General features: G+C 40.3%; 1 long non-coding RNA gene and 2 pseudogenes across 1 annotated transcript in view; 2 read left to right on the top strand and 1 right to left on the bottom strand.

Moving 5' to 3' along the window:
• OXA1L-DT (OXA1L divergent transcript) overlaps positions 1-4,887 on the top strand; it is a 62,343-nt gene extending 57,456 nt beyond the window's left edge. Inside the window, exon 3 of the long non-coding RNA XR_001750638.3 lies at positions 2,692-4,887. This is a non-coding gene — a long non-coding RNA (OXA1L divergent transcript). The remainder of the gene's footprint in view (positions 1-2,691) is intronic.
• On the bottom strand, positions 6,038-6,963 carry OR6E1P (olfactory receptor family 6 subfamily E member 1 pseudogene; annotated as a pseudogene).
• Positions 14,530-15,055, top strand: RPL26P2 (ribosomal protein L26 pseudogene 2; annotated as a pseudogene).

The following is an 18,953-nucleotide window of genomic DNA, read 5'->3' as shown; positions in this document are numbered from 1 at the left end:
GGGGGAGAGGATAATATACACTCCCCTGTGATATTGTTTGTAATATTTAGGGGTTGAGAGAATGACATTATTCCCCATATCGCAAGGGGTGCATGCCCCGCTGTGATATTGTTCATAGTATCCAGGGAGGGAGAGAATGATATTACTTCTTATATCGCAGGGGTGTACATTGGCCTGTGATATTGTTCGTCATATCCAGGAGAGAGAGGATGGTATTACTCCCCATATAGCGAATGTTGTACACCTTCCTGTAATATTGTTCATAATATCTATAGGGGGAGAGGATGATATCACTCCCCATATCACAGGGAGTGTACACCGCCGTGTGACATTGTGATATCCAAGAGGGAAGTGGATGATATTACTTCCCTGTGATATTGTTTGTAATATCCAAAAAGGGAGAGGGTGATGTTACTCCCAATATCGAAGAGGGTGTACACCCTTCTGTGATATTGGTCGTAATATTCAGGGAAGGAGAGGATAATATTACTCCCAATATCGCAGGGAGTGTGCATCACCCACCAAATGGTTCGTTATATCCAAAAAGAAGAAGATGTACTCCCAATATCACAGGGGGTGTACACCCCCATGTGATATATTGTTTCTAATATCCAGGGGAAAGAGGATAATATTACTCCCAATATCACAGGGGGTGTAAACCACCTTGTGATATTGTTCGTAATATCTAGGGGAAGAGAGGATGATACTACTCCTCATATCGCAGTGGGTGTACACCTTCCTGTGATATTGTTCATAGTATTTCAAGGAGGGTGAAATAATATTTCTCCTTATATCACAGAAGGTGTAGACCTTGTAGTATTATTGTAGGTATTGTTCATAATATCCAGGGGGGGAGAGGATGATATTACTCCGCATGTCGCAGAATGTGTACACCCATTTATGATATTATCATAATATCCATTGAGGGAGAAGATAATATTACTCCCCATATCGCAAAGGGTGTACACCCTCCTGTGATATTGTTCGTAATATCCGGGGTTGGGATAGGATGATATTACTTCACATGTCGCAGAAAGTGTACATCCCGCTGTCATACTGTTCATAATATCCAGGGCGGGGAAAGGATAATATTACTTTCCATATCGCAGGGAGTGTGCTACCCCTTGTGATGTTGCTCGTAATATCCAGGGGTGAAGAAAATGATATTACTCCCCATATCGCAGGAGGTATACATCCACCTGTGATATTGTTTATAATGTTCAGTGGGGAGAGGATGATATTACTCCCCATAGTGCAGGAGGTGTACACCCACCTGTGATATTGTTCCTAATTTCCAGGGGGCGAGAGGATAATACTACTTCCCACATTGCAGCGTGTGTACATCCCCTGTGATATTGTTTGTAATATTTAGGGGAGGAGAGGATGACATTACTCCCCATATCACAGGGGATGCACACTTCCCTGTGATATTGTTCATAATATCCAGGGAGGGAGAGGATGATATTTCTGCCCATATCACATGGGGTGTACACCCCCTTGTGATATTGTTCGTAATATCTAGGGAGGGAGAGGATGATATTACTCCCCATATCGCATGGGGTGTACACCCCCTTGTGATGTTGTTCGTAATATCCAGGGGAAGAGAGGATGATATTTCTCCCTGTATCACAGGGGGTGTGCACCCCCTTGTGATATTGTTTGTAATATCCAGAAGGGGAGAGAATGATATTACTCTCCATATCGCTGGGAGTGTACATTCCCTTGTGATATAGTTCCTAATATCCATCGGGGGAGAGGATGATATTACCTCCAGGATCGCCTGAGGTTGGGAGTTTGACACCATCCTGGCCAACATGGTGAAACCCTGTCTCTACCAAAAATACAAAAATTAGCCGGGCGTGCTGGCACGTGCCTGTAATCCCAGTTACTCGGGAGGCTGAGGCAAGAGTATCACTTGAACCCGGGAGGTGGAGGTTGCAGTGAGCCGCGATCGTGCCACTGCACTGCAGCCTGGGCGACAGAGCAAGACTCTGTCTCAACAACAACAACAACAACAACAACAAAGAGATTTTATAATAAACCTCCATGTATCAATGTAGCCATCATCTAGCTTTAACAATGACCAAGTCATACCGGTTTCACCTAGACCACCACCAACTCCCCTCCTCCTTTTATTATTCTGAAGCAAATCCCAGACATCATATCATTTTCTCTGTAAATATTTTAGCATTTATTAAAACAAGAGTAATTTTTAAAGTATAAATTTACTTTTAAAAACTGAAAATGCTTCCTTAATTATTAAGAGCTGTTATTTTTATTTTTATTGTTTTAACTATTAACATGATTGGACATCTTTTAATTTATTTATTGGCTCTTTAAATTTGCTTTTTTCTGAAGTGTCTATGCATATCCTTATCTCATTTATCTATTAGATAATAGATAATTCGTCTTTGTAAATTATGGATAATAACCCTTTATTTGTAATACATATTCTCCACTCCACCCTCTTCCTATATACTCATTCAAACCTGTTCATGTAGTTATTTTTCCTTGATCCCTGATGAAATCCAGGACAAGTCTAGTGATTTTTCTGGTCACTCCTACATAATTTTAAAAGTCCTCTATTAACTATCAGTCCATAGAATAGTGTTAGTAAACTGTCCAATTCTATGTAATTATTAAAATTTGGAACTTCATTTAAAGTTAAAACTTACTCTTTCCTCCACCTAGAGCTTGTTTCAGGCAAGACATCAGAGAGAAACGGTGTGTGTTGTTGGCTTTATCTGTCTTGACTCTGCAAGCACATCTACCCGTTACCTGTGGCTTCTCCCTCCCTCAGGGCTATGTGGATGTGAGAGAGGTGACAGGTAGGAGATGGAGAACCAAGAGGAAGTGGAAGGTTGCACAGACAAAGGTGCTAACAGTGGTAGTGGTAAGAAATAGTAGGGTTCTGTATATATTTTGAAGGTATAACCCACAGAATTTGCTAATGGATTGGTTGTAGGATATTGGAGAAAGAAGGGAGTCAAAGATTACATATTTTTGGGTTTTTATTGATCTGAGATCTGTATTTTTTATTGTGGTGAAAAATATATGACATAAAATGTATTATATTAAGCATTTTTAATTATTCAGTTAAATGGCACTAAGTAAATTCACATTGTTGAGCAATCATCACCAGTATCTATCTCCAGAACTTTTTTATCATCCAAAACTGAAACTCTGGGCATGCGCAGATCACCTGAGGTCAGGAGTTCAAGACCAGCCTGGCCATCATGGTGAAACCACGTCTCTACTAAAACTACAAAAATTAGCCGGGCATGGTGGTAGGTGCCTGTAATTTCAGCTACTCAGGAGGCTGAGGCACAAGAATCTCTTGACCCCGGGAAGCAGAGGTTGCAGTGAGCCGAGATCTTTTCTTCTCCCATGCACTCCAGCCTGGGAGATAGAGTGAGACTGTATCTTAAAAAAATAATAATAAATTGAGACCAAACTGAAACTCTACACCCATTAAACAATAAATCCTCCATTCCTCCTTGGCCTGGGCCCTGGTAACCACCGTTCTACTTTCTATCTCTGAATTTGACTATTCTAGGTACCTCATATAAGTATAGTTATACATTATTTGTCCTTCTGTGATTGGCTTATTTCACATAGCATAATGTTTTCTAGGCTCATCTATGATTTAATATTTGTTTATTACAGACAGTGTGCATCAAAATTTCATTGCTTTTAAGGCTAAGTAATATTCCATTGTATGTATATGCCACATTTTATTTTTCCATTCATCTGTTGTTGGACATTTTTTTAAACCACCTTTTGGCTATTGTGAATAATGATGCTGTGAACACGGGTGTATAAAGATCTGTTCAACTCCCTGCCTTCCATTCTTTTGGGTATATTCACAGAAGTAAAATTGCTGGATTTTATGGCACATCTATGTTTAATTGTTTTAGGAACCACCATCCTGTTTTCCACAGTGACTGTACCACTTTACATTTCCACTAGCAATGTGTATATGCAAGAGTTCTAATTTCTTTACACTTTTTTCCAGTCTTATAAGAAAGTCTAGATGACTTCTGTACCTTCTTTTCTTCTTTCTTTCTCTTTCTCTCTCTCTCTCTTTTTTTTTTTTTGAGACAAGGTCTTGCTCTGTCACCCAGGCTAGAGTGCAGTGGTGCAATCATGGCTCACTGTAGCCTCAAACTCCTGGGCTCAAGCGATTCTCTCACCTCAGCTTCCTGAGTAGCTGGGACTACAGGTACACACCACCATGGCCAGCTAATTTTTGTAGTTTTTTTTGTAGAGATGGGGTCTCACTATGTTGCCCAGTTGTCCAGGCTGGTCTTGAATTCCTGGCCTCAAATGATCCTCCTGTCTTTGCCTTCCAAGGAGTTAGGATTACAGGGATGAGCCACTGTAATCCTAACTCCTTGGAAGTGGCCACTCCACATTCTTGACAACACTTGTTATTTTCTATTTTTTTAATTAAAAAAATAGACTTCCTAATTGGTGTGAAGTGGTATCTCATTGTGGTTTTGATTTGCATTGCCCTAATGATTAAGTGATGTAACACTTTTCGTGTATTTATTGATCATTTGTAGAATTGGGTTGTTTGCTTTTTGTTTTTGAGTTATAGTAGATATGTAACCCGATTTTGAGGTTTTTCTATAGTAATATGTCTAATCAAGTTTTCTATTTCTCCTTAGGTCAGTTGAAAAAAAATTTCTTTTCTGGAAAATCATCCATTTCCTCTTGGTTTTCAAATTGGTTGTTGAAGAGTTACATGTGATATTTTCTTACACATTATCATTTTCTACCCTGAATTCTAGTATTTGCATACTTCATATTGTCTTTGTTTGATTTCAGATTCTTCAAAGGCATAGATTATTATCTACCAGACCATACATTTACTTGAACATGACTTCTGTGTAACAATCACTTTGGAAGAATTAATGTTAATTGATTTGGTTACGGTAGGTAACGGGTAGATGTGCTTGCAGAGTCAAGACAGATAAAGCCAACAACACACACCGTTTCTCTCTGATGTCTTGCCTGAAACAAGCTCTAGGTGGAGGAAAGAGTAAGTTTTAACTTTAAATGAAGTTCCAAATTTTAATAATTACATAGAATTGGACAGTTTACTAACACTATTCTATGGACTGATAGTTAATAGAGGACTTTTAAAATTATGTAGGAGTGACCAGAAAAATCACTAGACTTGTATTTAACTTTAACATTTAAAATAACATTTTGAATATAAAATCTTCAAAAATGCTTTTGTTGATAACTGGTATAAAATAAAATAAAAAAGGGAGTGGGAAAGTAGGATTATAATTGGAAGAAAGGAAGGAATATTTATTGAGGACCAGACACTATGTAAGCAATTTTACATAGAAAATCTCATTTGACTTTTATTACAATTCTTTGAAATGGCCATTGTCATCCTCATTTCATAGATGAGAAAACTGGGGCTCAGAGAGGTAATATAACTAGTAGATGAAAGAGCCTTTATCAGTAAGAATGAGGAATTTCTAGGAATTTAAATACTAAAAGAGCATAAATAGCTTATACGCAAAATGATAAGCAATTAGCTTTAGCATTTTCGATGTCTTGCTAATATATTTCCGTAACAGGATTGTCAGTGTTAAATAAGGACAGTACTAATAGATAACTGTTCTTTCCCCTGAGGACGTTGGAGAAACAGACACAGAGTGATCAATCAGCACACAAGTATTTTTTAACAATCTATATGGTCTATGACAATGGATTGACACTTGAGGCTTATAGTGAGTTATAGAGCTAGTTTCTGCTTTCAGAGAACTTGTATTTTGTTGGAAGCCAGGCAGATACAGATGGAATGAACAGAAATATTCAAATCCACTAATTAATAGTGCCAGAGGGTCCAAAGAGTTTATGCTGAATTGCATAGTGACTGATCCCATAGAAACACATCATGTACAAACATATCATCCGAGCTTTTTCTGAATCGGAAAGGCTCAGTTGTTTCAAGGGGCCTATATTCTCTTAGCTTGTCTGGGGATGCTGAGCTTCAGTTTTTTTTTTACACAGCTTTATATGAGGAGTTTGCTCACCTGCTGCCTAAACACCTGTTTCACCTGTTTGTTCCTCAGGGTGTAGATGAAGGGGTTGAGCATCAGGGTCACCACGGTGTTAAGCAATGCCGCCACCTTGTTCCTGTCTTCCTTCTGGTCACTCTTGCCTGACTGAATGTACATGAAGATGCAGCTGCCATAGAAGAGAGACACGACAATGATGTGGGAGGAGCAGGCGGAGAAGGCTTTCTGCTTCTCTTTGGCTGAGGGGATGTGCAGAATGGCGTGGAGGATGTGGCCATAGCAAGTGGCCGTCATAGACAGAGTGCCCAGTAAGCTGACGTTGGCTATAACAAAACCCAGGAGCTCTATCAGAGTCATGTCTGCACAAATGAGTTTCAAGAGGGGAAAGTTGTCACAGAAGAAATGGTTAATGATGTTGGGGCCACAGAATGGCTGCTGAAGGACAAGAAAACTTGGAATAATGATGAGAAGGAATCCTGTCATCCACTAACAGAGGACTAGCTGGACACAGACCCTTTTGCTCATGATGGTGGCATAATGCAAAGGGTTACATACGGCCACGTACCTGTCAAAGGACATCACCGCCAGGAGGAAGAACTCTGTGGTGCCCAAGAAAAAATAGAGCAAACTTTGCAGGAAGCAGCCTGGGAGGGAATGGTCTTGTATCCTGTGAGGATGTTGGCCAGCACCTTGGGAAAGATGACCGAGGTGAACCAGATCTCCGGGACAGCAAAGTTGCGGAGGAAGTAGTACATGGTGGTGTGGAGGCGCCTGTCCATGAGGGTGATGACCACGATGACCAGATTCCCCAGCAGTGTGAGGAGGTAGGTCAGGAGGAGCCCCAGGAAGATGAGCATCTGCAGCTCACAGGTCTCTGAGAGCCCCAGCAGGACAAACTCGGTGACGGTGGTGTGGTTCCCCATGGCTCCTCTGACCTTTGCTGGGGAGGGCTGATCAAAGGTGTTCAGCATCAAGAATCGTGATGTTGGGGACCTGAGAACAACCTGGAACTGAAAGGAGAGAGGGCTGAAGGTGTACTTTATTTCTGTGAAGGATGTATCTTCCCACCACTGACTACTCAGGCTTATCTGCAGAGCCTCTGGGGTTACCTGTTTCACGTGTGGTTTCTGGTGCATCTGTGTGTTAGACAAGAGTGTGATGATGTGCAAGGTGGCCCAAGAAAGGCTCAGAACCAAAATTTATCCTTTCTTACTTTTCTTAACCAAAACTTTTACTCCTAATTTCTCAATGAATCCCTTTGCCTATACTAATATTACCTGCTTTCAATAACTTTTGTTCTTGTGTTTATACCAATATTGGGTCTTCATCCATAAAGAGTTCATATTCGAGGGTGTTGCTGTTTAAACATTGCCAGAATCTTTGATACCTTTCATTAGTTTTTGGATTGATAAAAAGACTAGAGGAAATCTGTGAGAGAAAAGCACACCTCTCACAAATCAAATAAGGAAAAATCCAAGTAGTATCCACATAAATCAACACTCCTTAATGGGAGTTTGATATTCAACATTCTTAATGACCTGTTGCCAAGGTTCTCCTTTCATTATCTCCTTCCACAAACTCTGAGCTTTGGATATAATAGATTCTTTGCAATATTTTGATTCTTTATCCATTTTCACACAACTGTGTGTTTGCTCATGTCACTCTTTCAGTTTGGAATCATCAGCCTTTCAAGTCCTATTTATCCTTTAAGTCTTTCCTCAATAAATGCTATCTTTTCTATAAAGACTTCTCTTCCAAATAAATGTGTCTTTCCTCTGTACCTCCCATAATTTTATTATATATCATCTTTTTATTGTATTGTTATAGTTGTTTTTCACTTCTTGCTCACTGAGTCAAAAATTTCTCTATTAACCTTTGTATTTTCTGTAGTAATTAGAACAAGTTTCTTGAAATAATCAGCTTTAACAACATTTATTGAATGAGTAAGCCACATCTCAAATGTCTGAGAGATGGATTCGGTGGGTGTTTGACACACAAGTGGTTGAGGACATGTAATTTATGTAGCATTTCCTAGGGGTCAGCAACCTTGCCAGCAGCATGCCAACTCATCTGAAATTGGTCCATCTGAAGAGAGTTTGCTTTTCCTCACGACAAGTTGGAGGCATTGCTCCACAATCATTCTCTGAAGGGAGAGTCTACATCTTTGAGACGGTCTGGAGTTTGAGTGAGTGAGTAGACAGAGGTCTGGTTGGGTTTGCTGGGGAGCTTCCAGCAGCAGAAAACCCAAAAAACAAAAACCTTAGAAAGGTTTTGCCTTCTTTTTAGCACAGGCTACATTATTCTAGGTCATTCCATAAACTACCCTTATCTCTAACTTTTGCTGACAGTTATTAAAGAACACAAAATAGTTGACCAGCCTTTGAGGATATAACTAGGGCTATTTCTCATGGGCTAATTCTAGGCTTCACATTGTCTAGATCCATCAACAATTGGAAAAATAGGTTTTTGTAGCCTCATCATTTTGTTCAAAGATGACCCCAGGTGGCCCATGACAAAAGCAGAATCCAACATGAACATGACACCCAGAAACATCATCAGGAAGTAATAGGATGAGTATTAGAGTATTTTTTAGGCAAGTCCTGGGTGGTACACATTGGGAGAAACATAAGAACAGAGATTAAGGTGATAAAGAGCCAGCTGTGAATGGGACTAGAAGAAAAAGCTCCAGGTTCATGCTGAGTCATGAGCTTAGCACAGATAAATGAAGGCATTGTGACCAGCTAAGGAGATAGCATCTAGCCAGGGCCGCTGATGAACTTTTTTTTCTTCCTGTTTCAAAGCAGAGGTCACTAGTTCTTGGCCTTCCAGAACCAAAGTAAATTAGGCCACTTCCTGAATCCCAGGCATTTCCTCCTTTATTCTACATGCTTGATGAGTGAAGGGGAGACTTGCCCAGCAGTCTGAGAGCCTGGACGTGGCTGCACCATCTACTTCAGACCATTCATTGTTTTTAGGGTCAGTTGTGTAGTGCCCCATGGAAAAGTATGCACGACCTGGAGGTGTGTCCTGCCACGGTAGGAACTCAGGCTCTTTTTTTTTTTTTGCCCAGGCTGGAGTGCAGTGGCACAATCTCGGCTTACTGCAACATCTGCCTCCTGGGTTCAAGTGATTCTCCTGCCTCAGCCTCCCAAGTAGCTGGGACTGCAGGCGTGCCCCACCATGCCCGCCTAATTTTTGTATTTTTAGTAGAGACAAGGTTTCACTATTTTGGCCAGGCTGGTCTCGAACTCCTGGCCTCAGGTGATCCACCCTCCTCAGCCTCCCAAAGTGCTGGGATTACAGGCGTGAGCCACTGTGCCTGGACTTCATGCTCTTTTGAACAGTTCCACTACACCTAGAAGGAGGATGAGATATTCCCCTTCAAAGCAAAAGCATTTGGAGTTTCACCCAGATTCCATGTTGTCCAGAGCTTTGTGTCTTCCAAGAGGACAGTTACACAGAGCACAGCATGGCACAACATTGGGCAGATCAGGCCAGGCAAAGTCCCTCAGTGCAAGTGAGTAATGTAATGGCTCTGACTGAATAAACATTGGCTTACCCACTGCTGTGTTCCAGCATTGACTTGGGTGGGGCTAAAGTTACAAATGAGACCCAGTGCCTGTCCTTGATGTGCCAGACCTTCTGACAAAATATAAAAACAAGTGCCAGCAAGAGAAGGGTTTGAGGAAGCAACTGCTGCTCTGCCAGCCCCTGAAGTGCCAAGATGGAGATTACTTGGCAGGTCCAGGGTCAGGTGTCTACCAGTCCTCCGGGAGACTCCCAATCAGGCCATTCCAAACACACTGCTCACAGGACTACGGGAGATAACTGCTTCTCACGGTTATTTCCTGAGGTTGCAATATTGTCTGTTGGCTCTAAATGCTGGTCCTATACTGTTGGTGTGAGTTCTGTATCTCTCATGAATTTGATGGTATTTTCTAAGAACACCTGTTCTCTTACAAAGCTTCCTGAATGGGCAGTTGCATTCCCTGGTCACTCAGAGAAGAATAGCTTCTTTGGCGCCATCATTCAGCTCAAAGGGTCTGAAGAGTATAGAGTGTTTCAAAATCTTCAATTTTCAGCAAGCTCCTTCTGAAGTAAACATCTTTTGGTGAAGGTAATATCAGGGCTGGAAGATTTGGGTTGCAGTTTTGTTTTCTTAAGGGATCTATTCGTCTCCCTAGTTTGATGGGACTTGGGATCCCCAGAGAGTTAGTCTAATGAGCCCCACTCAGCCTCTTTCCAAGTCTCTTGGCTGTTACTTAGTACAACTTTGCAAACAAAACTTTCTGTTGTTTGTTCAGATCGAGAATAACAACTACTTTTAGTTAAAGTAATAAATCCAGGCTGGGCATGGTGGCTCATGCCTGTAATCCAGCACTTTGGGAGGCTGAGGCAGGGGGACTCACTGGAGGCCACGAGTTTGAGACCACCCTGGCAACATAGAGAGACTCTGTCTCTACAAAAATTAAAAAAAAAAAATCACATTATGCCTCCAAAATAGGGGACTCCTGTGTAACACTAGGCAGTCTTATTGTTCTAGGGATATAAGGAACCATCACAAGTAATGTAGAACTCTGGCCAGTCCTGTCCTGCAGGATCCCTTCCCTCCCAGGGCCGGGACATGGTTGAAGACGGAGTACTGGAGAGAGGGACAAAATGCAAGAAAATGAAAAAGCTGCGATTAAATGTCTTTTTCCTTTGGTTAAAAATATAAAAGCATTTGGTAAAAAGGATCAGAAACCCACGTTCAAGGCATCGTTAAGAAAGTGGGAAAAAAGAATGAAACATACATAGGCTTGATTCTCAACCAGGCTGTACAATTGGGCTCTTCGACAAGGTCTTGGTTATTCAATTTTTAATGCTGTTTATGAGAAAATTAAAGCAGATTTTTAAAGATAGATTTATGTTTTAGATCAGTTTTAGGGTCACGGAGAAATTGAATGGAAGTTATAGAGATTTCCCATATATTCCCTGCACCTACACATGCATAAGCATAAATATATATATTTTTATTTTAAAAATTATACTTATTTATTTATTTTAGAGATAGGGTGTCACTCTGTCACCTAGGCTGGAGTACAGTGGTGCAATCATAGCTCATTGCAGCCTTGAACTCCTAGGCTCCAGTGATCCTCCTGCCTCAGCCTCCCAAGTAGCTGGGATTACAGGTGTGAGCCACCACACTTGGCTAAGCAGATTACTATTATTATCTTTTGAGACGGAATCTCACTCTGTCACCTAGGCTGAAGTGCAGTGGTGCGATCTCTGCTCACTGCAACCTCCACCTCCTGGGTTTAAGCAATTCTCCTGCCCCAGCCTCCTGAGTACAGGCATGCGCCACTACACCTGGCTAATTTTTGTATTTTTAGTAGAGATGGGGTTCCACCATGTTAGTCAGGCTGGTCTTGAACTCCTGACCTCAAGAAACCTGCCCACGTTGACCTCCCAAAGTGCTGGGATTACAGGTGTGAGCCACCAAGCCCAGTCCTCCTAAGCAGACTATTTTTAATGTCATTTTACCACACTATAGAAGCAAGTAATCCTATAATATAGAAAGTTTGGAAACTCTAGTTAAATACATATTTTTAAAAATCCCTCATTCATGACCCCAGCTCAATACATTTAACACTTTAATTTTCCATCAGATTATTTTTCTGATACATTTTTTACATGAGTGTGATTGTATTCTACATGCCTTTACTACTCAAAAAGTGGTATGTACACCAGCAGCATTGGCATTATTTCTGTTAAAAAAAGCAGAATCCCAGGCATCACTTTAGTCCTCCTGAATCAGAATCTCTATTTTAATAAGAACCCTGGGTGATTGCTTAGTATCACATTGTATTTACATATATATTTTTATTCTGCTTTTTTTTTCATTTAAACCAGCAATAGAGGTGTTTTTCATGTAATTAAAGATTTCGCATAAATATAATTTTAAATGCTGGATTTATCATTAGTTTACATAACCATTCCCTTTTCACATTTAAGTTGTTTCCAACTTGTCATTATTAAAGTAGGACTTGGATAAATATCTTTGTATATAAAACATTTTCCATATTTGAGATATTTCCTGAAAACAAATTCTTAGAACTGGAATTACTAGTCCAGAGGACTAGAGGCTGGCAAATGTCTAACAACAGGCTCTCAGGAAAACAAAAGGTGCCTTGATTTGTAGTACTTGCGATTTCTATGGTGTAAATACTTTCATTCTGGCTAATTTTATTTACTTATTTTTTTCCTGAGATTGAGTTTCACTCTTGTTGCCCAGGCTGGAGTGCAGTGGTACACTCTTGGCTCACTGCAACATCTGCCTCCCTGGTTCAAGTGATTCTCCTGCCTCAGCTTCCCAAGCAGCTGGGATTACAGGTGCCTGCCACCACGCCCAGCTAATTTTTGCATTTTTAGTAGAGATGGGGTTTTGCCATGTTGGCCAAGCTGGTCTTGAACTCCTGACCTCAGGTGATCCACCTGCCTCGGCCTCCCAAAGTGCTGGGATTACAGGCATGAGCCACTGCGCCCCACTCTGGCTGCTTTTAAGTACCAATGTGATGTTACTAAATGCAGACCTGGCAAGAAATGTGCATAATCAGCTCTCAAAAGCTGATGGGAGCTGACTCCAGCATACAATCAACACACTCTCAATGCATGGGATGGCATGCCATTATGTCTCTTACATGTATGTTTGTATGTTTGTATGTATGTATTTATTCATTGCCTTCCACCCACTTTCCAAGCTCTCATTCTTTTGCCCTGTAAGAGGTCACTGTAATTGAATTTGCACGTGTCTATGTAAAACATATAAAGTGTATTTTTATTTTATGTAAATATTATATAGTTCTTGTTCTTTTTCTTACTCTTTTTACTCTGCAGTGTACTATGAAGACTTATTGATATGTATACTTTTAGTTTAATGTTTCTAATTGCTGCATTTTATTCCATAGTGTGCATTACCACATTTTATTGATCCATTTTCCCAATGATGGTCATCTGGATTGCCAACAATATCCTGCGACAAGCGTCTTTATAGAAGTAGCCTTATGGATGTGTGGCAATTTCCTGGGATACGTACATGTGAGTAGGATAGCTGGGCTATAAGTTGTATGCATTGACTTGACTAAGCACTGCTAGGATGTATTTATGTCTCTTAGGTGAGCCTACATTCTCCATTGCCTTATTGGTGTAGACAACACTAGAACAGAATTATAGCTGTGTTCCAACTTATAGCTATCATCAATATTCAGTAGTCAATTGATGACATTAGTGGTATTAGGAAATGCATTTATATAAAACAATACACAAGTTTTTAAACCTATATTTTATATTTTACCAATATAGGTCTCAAATTTGGCAGAAAAGCCTAGCAATATCTCTATGAGTAGTGAAAACATTTTGGTACAAGCAAGTGGAGCAAATTCACAGGGTGTGCCTGAGACTGTCAGAGGCTTTCAAGGAATGACCTCATATGGACTCTTGTATCCAATTCAAATCAAATAGGCCAGCTGCAGTGGCTCACACCTGTAATTCCAGCACTTTGGGGGGCTGAGGCAGGCGGATCACCTGAGTTCAGAAGTTCGAGAACAGCCTGACCAACTTAGCGAAACCCTATCTCTACTAAAAATACAAAACTTAGCCAGGCGTGGTGGCAGGTGCCTGTAATCCCAGCTACTTGGGAGATTGAGGCAGAATAATTGCTTTAACCTGGGAAATGGAAGCTGCAGTGAGCCGAGATCACACCACTGCACTCCAGCCTGGGCAACAGAGCAAGACTCTGTCTCAAAAAAAAAAAAATCAAATATATTTGGAGTAATGAGTCCTGTGACATTAGGCAACTTCATTATTAATGATAGACCACCCTTTCCATTTCCAGGGAAGCAAAGAGAAGCTATAAGGAAGGGACATCACAAGGACTGAGTTCATTCACTTCCTGACATCATTCTTTAGTGGTCTTAGATGCTGAACCTTCAAATGCTTTCTTCTTCTTGCTGCTTTTCACATGCACATAAATATGAAAAAGTAGTTTTCTATTTTAAACAATCTTCCTCTTATCCTGAGTCTTCTAAAGTTTACTTCTTTTACTTCTTTTCTCTTCTTTGAGAGCTGGACTTTATTCAATGGTTATTTCGTACTTACTAGGTTTCAGGCACTGGGCTAGGCACCACAAAAACAGTGGTGATTGAACATAGGCTCCTCTGTGGAGCACATAGTTTACTTCTTGGAAAGAGACTTTTAAGTTTACTGTCTTCACCCTTTTACCTTGTATTTGTTATTCATCCCTGGTGTCCTACAGAGTTTTGTCCTTAGGTTTCCCATTCTCTCTTGGTGGTCTCATCTGTGCTTACATCTTCAACTCTTACTTACTCCCGCATTGGTGATTCAATGTATATAATGAACACAGGCATCTCTCTTAAGCCCCAGAAACATCTATCCAACTATTTACTAAAGGTATCCACCTGTGTGCATTAAAGTCAATATGTTGAAAGTGCTCTTCCCTTTTGCGACCATCACTGAAGTGGGAAAAGCCAAAATGAAGTTCAATCCCTTTGTGACTTCTGACCAAAGCAAGAACTGCAAAAGGCATTTCAGTGAACCTTCCCACATTTGCAGGAAGACAATGTCTTCCTCTCTTTCCACAGAGCTGAGATAGAAGTACAACGTTTGATCCATGCCCATCTGAAAGGATGATGAAGTTCAGGTTGTATGAGGACACCATAAAGGTCAGCAAACTGGCAAAGTACTCCAGGTTTACAGGAAGAAATATGTCATCTACATTGAATGGGTGCAGTGGGAAAAGGCTAATGGCACAACTATCCATGTAAGCATTCACCCCAGCAAAGTGGTTACCACTGGGCTAAAACGGGACAAAGACTGCAAAAATGTCCTTGAATGGAAAGGAAAATCTCACCAAGTAGGAAAGGAAAAGGGCAAATACAAGGAAGAAACAATAGAGAAGATGCAGGAATGAAATAATCTAATATACAAGCTTTCATTAAAACTTGAAATGAAAAAGAAAAAAAAGCCAATATGTTGAAAGTAATTGAAGAATGTACCAGAAACCAATAAAAGTAATACTTGTAGGTGGTAGTTTGGGGTGGATAGAGTCAGGGTGGACAGCATGATTCCTTAATATGTATCTTTTCATGTATTTAAAAAATCTGGGGGCTGGGCACAGTGGCTCATGCCTGTAATCCCAGCACTTTGGGAGGCTGAGGCAGGCAGATCTCGAGGTCAGGAGTTTGAGACAAGCCTAGCTAACATGGTGAAACCCCGTCTCTACTAAAAATACATAAATTAGTCGGGCGTGGTGGAGGGTGTCTGTAATCCCAGCTATTCGGGAGGCTGAGGCAGGAGAATTTCTTGAACCCGGGAGGCAGAGGTTGCAGTGAGCTGAGATCATGCCACTGCACTCCAGCCTGGGTGACAGAGCATGACTCCGTCTCGGAGGAGAAAAAAAAAAATCTGGGAAATCCTAGACAGATCAATTAGGCAAGGGAAATAAATAGACATCCAAACAGGAAAAGAAGTCAAATTATCTTTCCTCAGATGATGTTATTCTCCATCTAGAAAACCCTACAGACTCTGCCAAAAGGCTAATGGAACTGATAAATGACTTCAGTAATGTTTCAGGACACAAAATCAATGTACAAAAATCGGTTGCATTTCTATATACCTATAATGTTCAAGCTGAGAGCCAAATCAGAACACAATCCCATTTACAATAGCCACACAAAAAATAAAATACCTAGGAATACATCTAACCAAGGAGGTGAAAGGTCTCTACAAGGAGAACTACAAAACACTGCTCAAAAAAATCACTGATGGCACAAACAAATGGCAAAACGTTCCACACTCATGGATTGGAAGAATAAATATCATTAAAATGACCATAGAACCCAAAGTAATCTATAGGTTCAATGCTATTCTGGTCAATGTCATTTCTCACAGAACTAGAAAAAGCTATTCTAAAATTCATATGGAAGCAAAAAGGGCCCAAATAGCCAAAGCAATCCTAAGCAAAAGGAACAAAGCTGTCAGCACCACATTACCTGACTTCAAAATATACTATAAAGCTACAGTAAGCAAAACAGCATGGTACAGTACAAAAACAGACACATAGACCAATGGAACAGAATAGAGAACCATAAGTAAAGCCACACCCCTACATCCATCTGATCTTCAACAAAGTTGACAAAAATAAGCAATGGGGGAAGAGACTCTCTATTCAATAAAGGGTGCTGGGATAACTGGCTAGCTATATGCAGAAAAATGAAACTGGACTCCTACCTTTTACCATGTACAAAATTAACTCAAGATGGATTAAATATTTAAATATAAGAGCTCAAACTGTAACAATTCTAGAAGAAAACCTAGGAAACATCATTCTGGACATCAGCCTTGGGAATGAATTTATTACTAAGTCCTCAAAAGCAATTGCAACAAAAACAAAAATTGACAGGTGGGATCTAATTAAACTAAAGAGCTTCTGCACAGCAAAAGAAACTATCAACAGACTAAACAGACAACCTACAGAATGGGAGAAACTATTCACAAACTGTGCAGCCAACAAAGATCTAATATCCAGATTCTATAAGAAACTTAATTCAACAAGCAAAAAATAAATAACCCAATTAAAAAATGGGCAAAAGACATGAACAGTCACTTCTCCAAAGAAGACTTTCAAGCAGCCAACAAACATGAAAAAATGCTCAATATCACTAATTATCAGAGAAATTCAGATCAAAACCACAAAGAGATACTATCTCATACCAGTCAGAAAGGCTATATTAAAAAGCCAAAAAACAACAGATGCTGGTGAGGCTGCAGAGAAAATGGAACACTTACACACTGTTGGTAAGAATGTAAATTAGTTCAGTCACTGTGGAAAGTTTTTTAAAGATTTCTCAAAGAACTTATAACAGAACTACCATTCAACCCAGCAATCCCATTACTGGGTATATATCCAAGAGAAAATAAACTGTTTTACCAAAAAGACATGTGCTTGCATGTTCATTGCAGCACTACTCACAATAGCAAGGACATGGAGTCAACCTAGGTGCCCACTGACAGTGGATTGGATAAAGAAAATATGGTACCTATATAACAAAGAATGCTATGCAGCCATTAAAAAGAATGAAATCATAGTTTTCTGCAGCAACATGTATGCAACTGAAGGGCATTATCCTAAGTGAATTAAAGCAGAAACAGAAAACCAAATATCGCATGATCTCGCTTATATGTAGAAGCTAAATATTGGGTACACATGGACAAAAAGATGGAAAAAATAGACACTGGGGACTACAAGATAGGGGAGGTAGGGAGTGGGGGAGAGGGTGGAAAAACTACCTATCAGGTACTATGCTCACTACCTGGGTGCTGGGTTCAGTCATACCCCAAACCTTAGCACCATACAATTCACCCATGTAACAAACCTGCATGTGTTATGAAAGTTATCACATTCTCTTGGGCTCCCACGCCTTTGCATATGCTGTTCTTCCTACTTGAAATGTTTTCCCGACCTTGGCCAAAAGCAGGTTGAGTTTTCCATTGGAAAACTTTTCTAAGTACTTCCCCCTTCCCTCCACCCAATCATACTTCTCTTGTCTATAAATAGTTCTGATATTGCACTAAATACTGTATCATCACTTCTGTTTTTTTCTTTGTATCCGCCTACTAACAATGTGACCCTGGACACATCCTGACAGCAGGAATTTAATCACATTTTTCTTTGTATTTCCAGCATCTGGCACAAGTACTTATATGGTGACATCATATAGATTGAAATGTTAACCATGATTTTGTTTTGATAAGCCACTGTGTGGAAAACCATGATTTTTTATGAGTATTTCTTATTCCTCTCAATTTGGGTAGGTAGACTGGGAAAGAAATGATGCAGAAGGAAGAGTAAAGCTTTTCTGAAGTTTAAGACTCATGGAGTGGAAAAAAGCTGATGGGTCAGAACATGCCTTTTTACTTCCTCAGATTCTGCACACTAGGGAGAAAGAGGAGACTTGAAAGAGAAGAAAGGACAGTTCAGAGCTAATGGGGCTCCAGAAAGGGGCATAGTGCTTTGCCTTTCCTAATTCCTGGCCAAGTCTGAAAGGGGAAATGATAGAACCACACATAGAGTTGTGGGTCTGAGAACAGAAAAAACTTGTGATTTGCTTTCTGGAAAGGGCCTTCAGGCAATGGCAATACCACAGAGGAGAAGAGGCTACATAAAGTTTCTAGGCAGGTGGGATTTTCAAGAGCATCAAGGAGTTTTCTGCAGCTCAGAGGTGCAGAAATAGAGTAATGAGGTATAGAGTGCCTGAGAGAGGTAAAGAAGTAGCAGGGAGAGCTGCCCAAGCTTCAAGGACCTCACTGAGAAGAATGAGGAGTGATGCACCAGCCACCTGTGTGGACTGACAACCTGGGACAGGGTGGGAGAATGCCAGAGGATAGATGGGCAAAGGACTGGCCATTTCCTAGTCCCTTCCCATCCTCCTCAGAACTTCAGCACAACTCTGAAGAAAAGTGTACTTGTGGGAGAACCCAGAATTGCCTGAGATTTAATTTCTGCCATCAGGCTAATGAGGCACCTAGGGAAATTAAGCTGAGTTTTTAAAATATCCAGAAAGTTAAATTTGTTGCACACGTGAGTCTCTGAACCCAGATGTGTATTTGCTTTACCTGGCATCAGGCAGTGTTATAACTCAATAAATTTATGTAAAATGTAAAAAGGAGTATCAAATTTCCCTAAATAAACTTTGCAATATAAACATAATTTATGTTATTAATTCTTTGTCAATAAAAATGTGGCAACATTCTGCTGCTCTGAGAGCTAGTGTCTCTTGGTCAATTACTTGATACAGTGGAAAAGACTTTGACCTTACAGTCAGATAAATATGGATGTATACACTGGCTCTGCAA

Source organism: Homo sapiens, chromosome 14 (genome assembly GCF_000001405.40).
Source record: "Homo sapiens chromosome 14, GRCh38.p14 Primary Assembly".
Lineage (NCBI taxonomy): Eukaryota > Metazoa > Chordata > Mammalia > Primates > Hominidae > Homo > Homo sapiens.
This window is presented reverse-complemented; position numbering and strand designations above follow the sequence as displayed.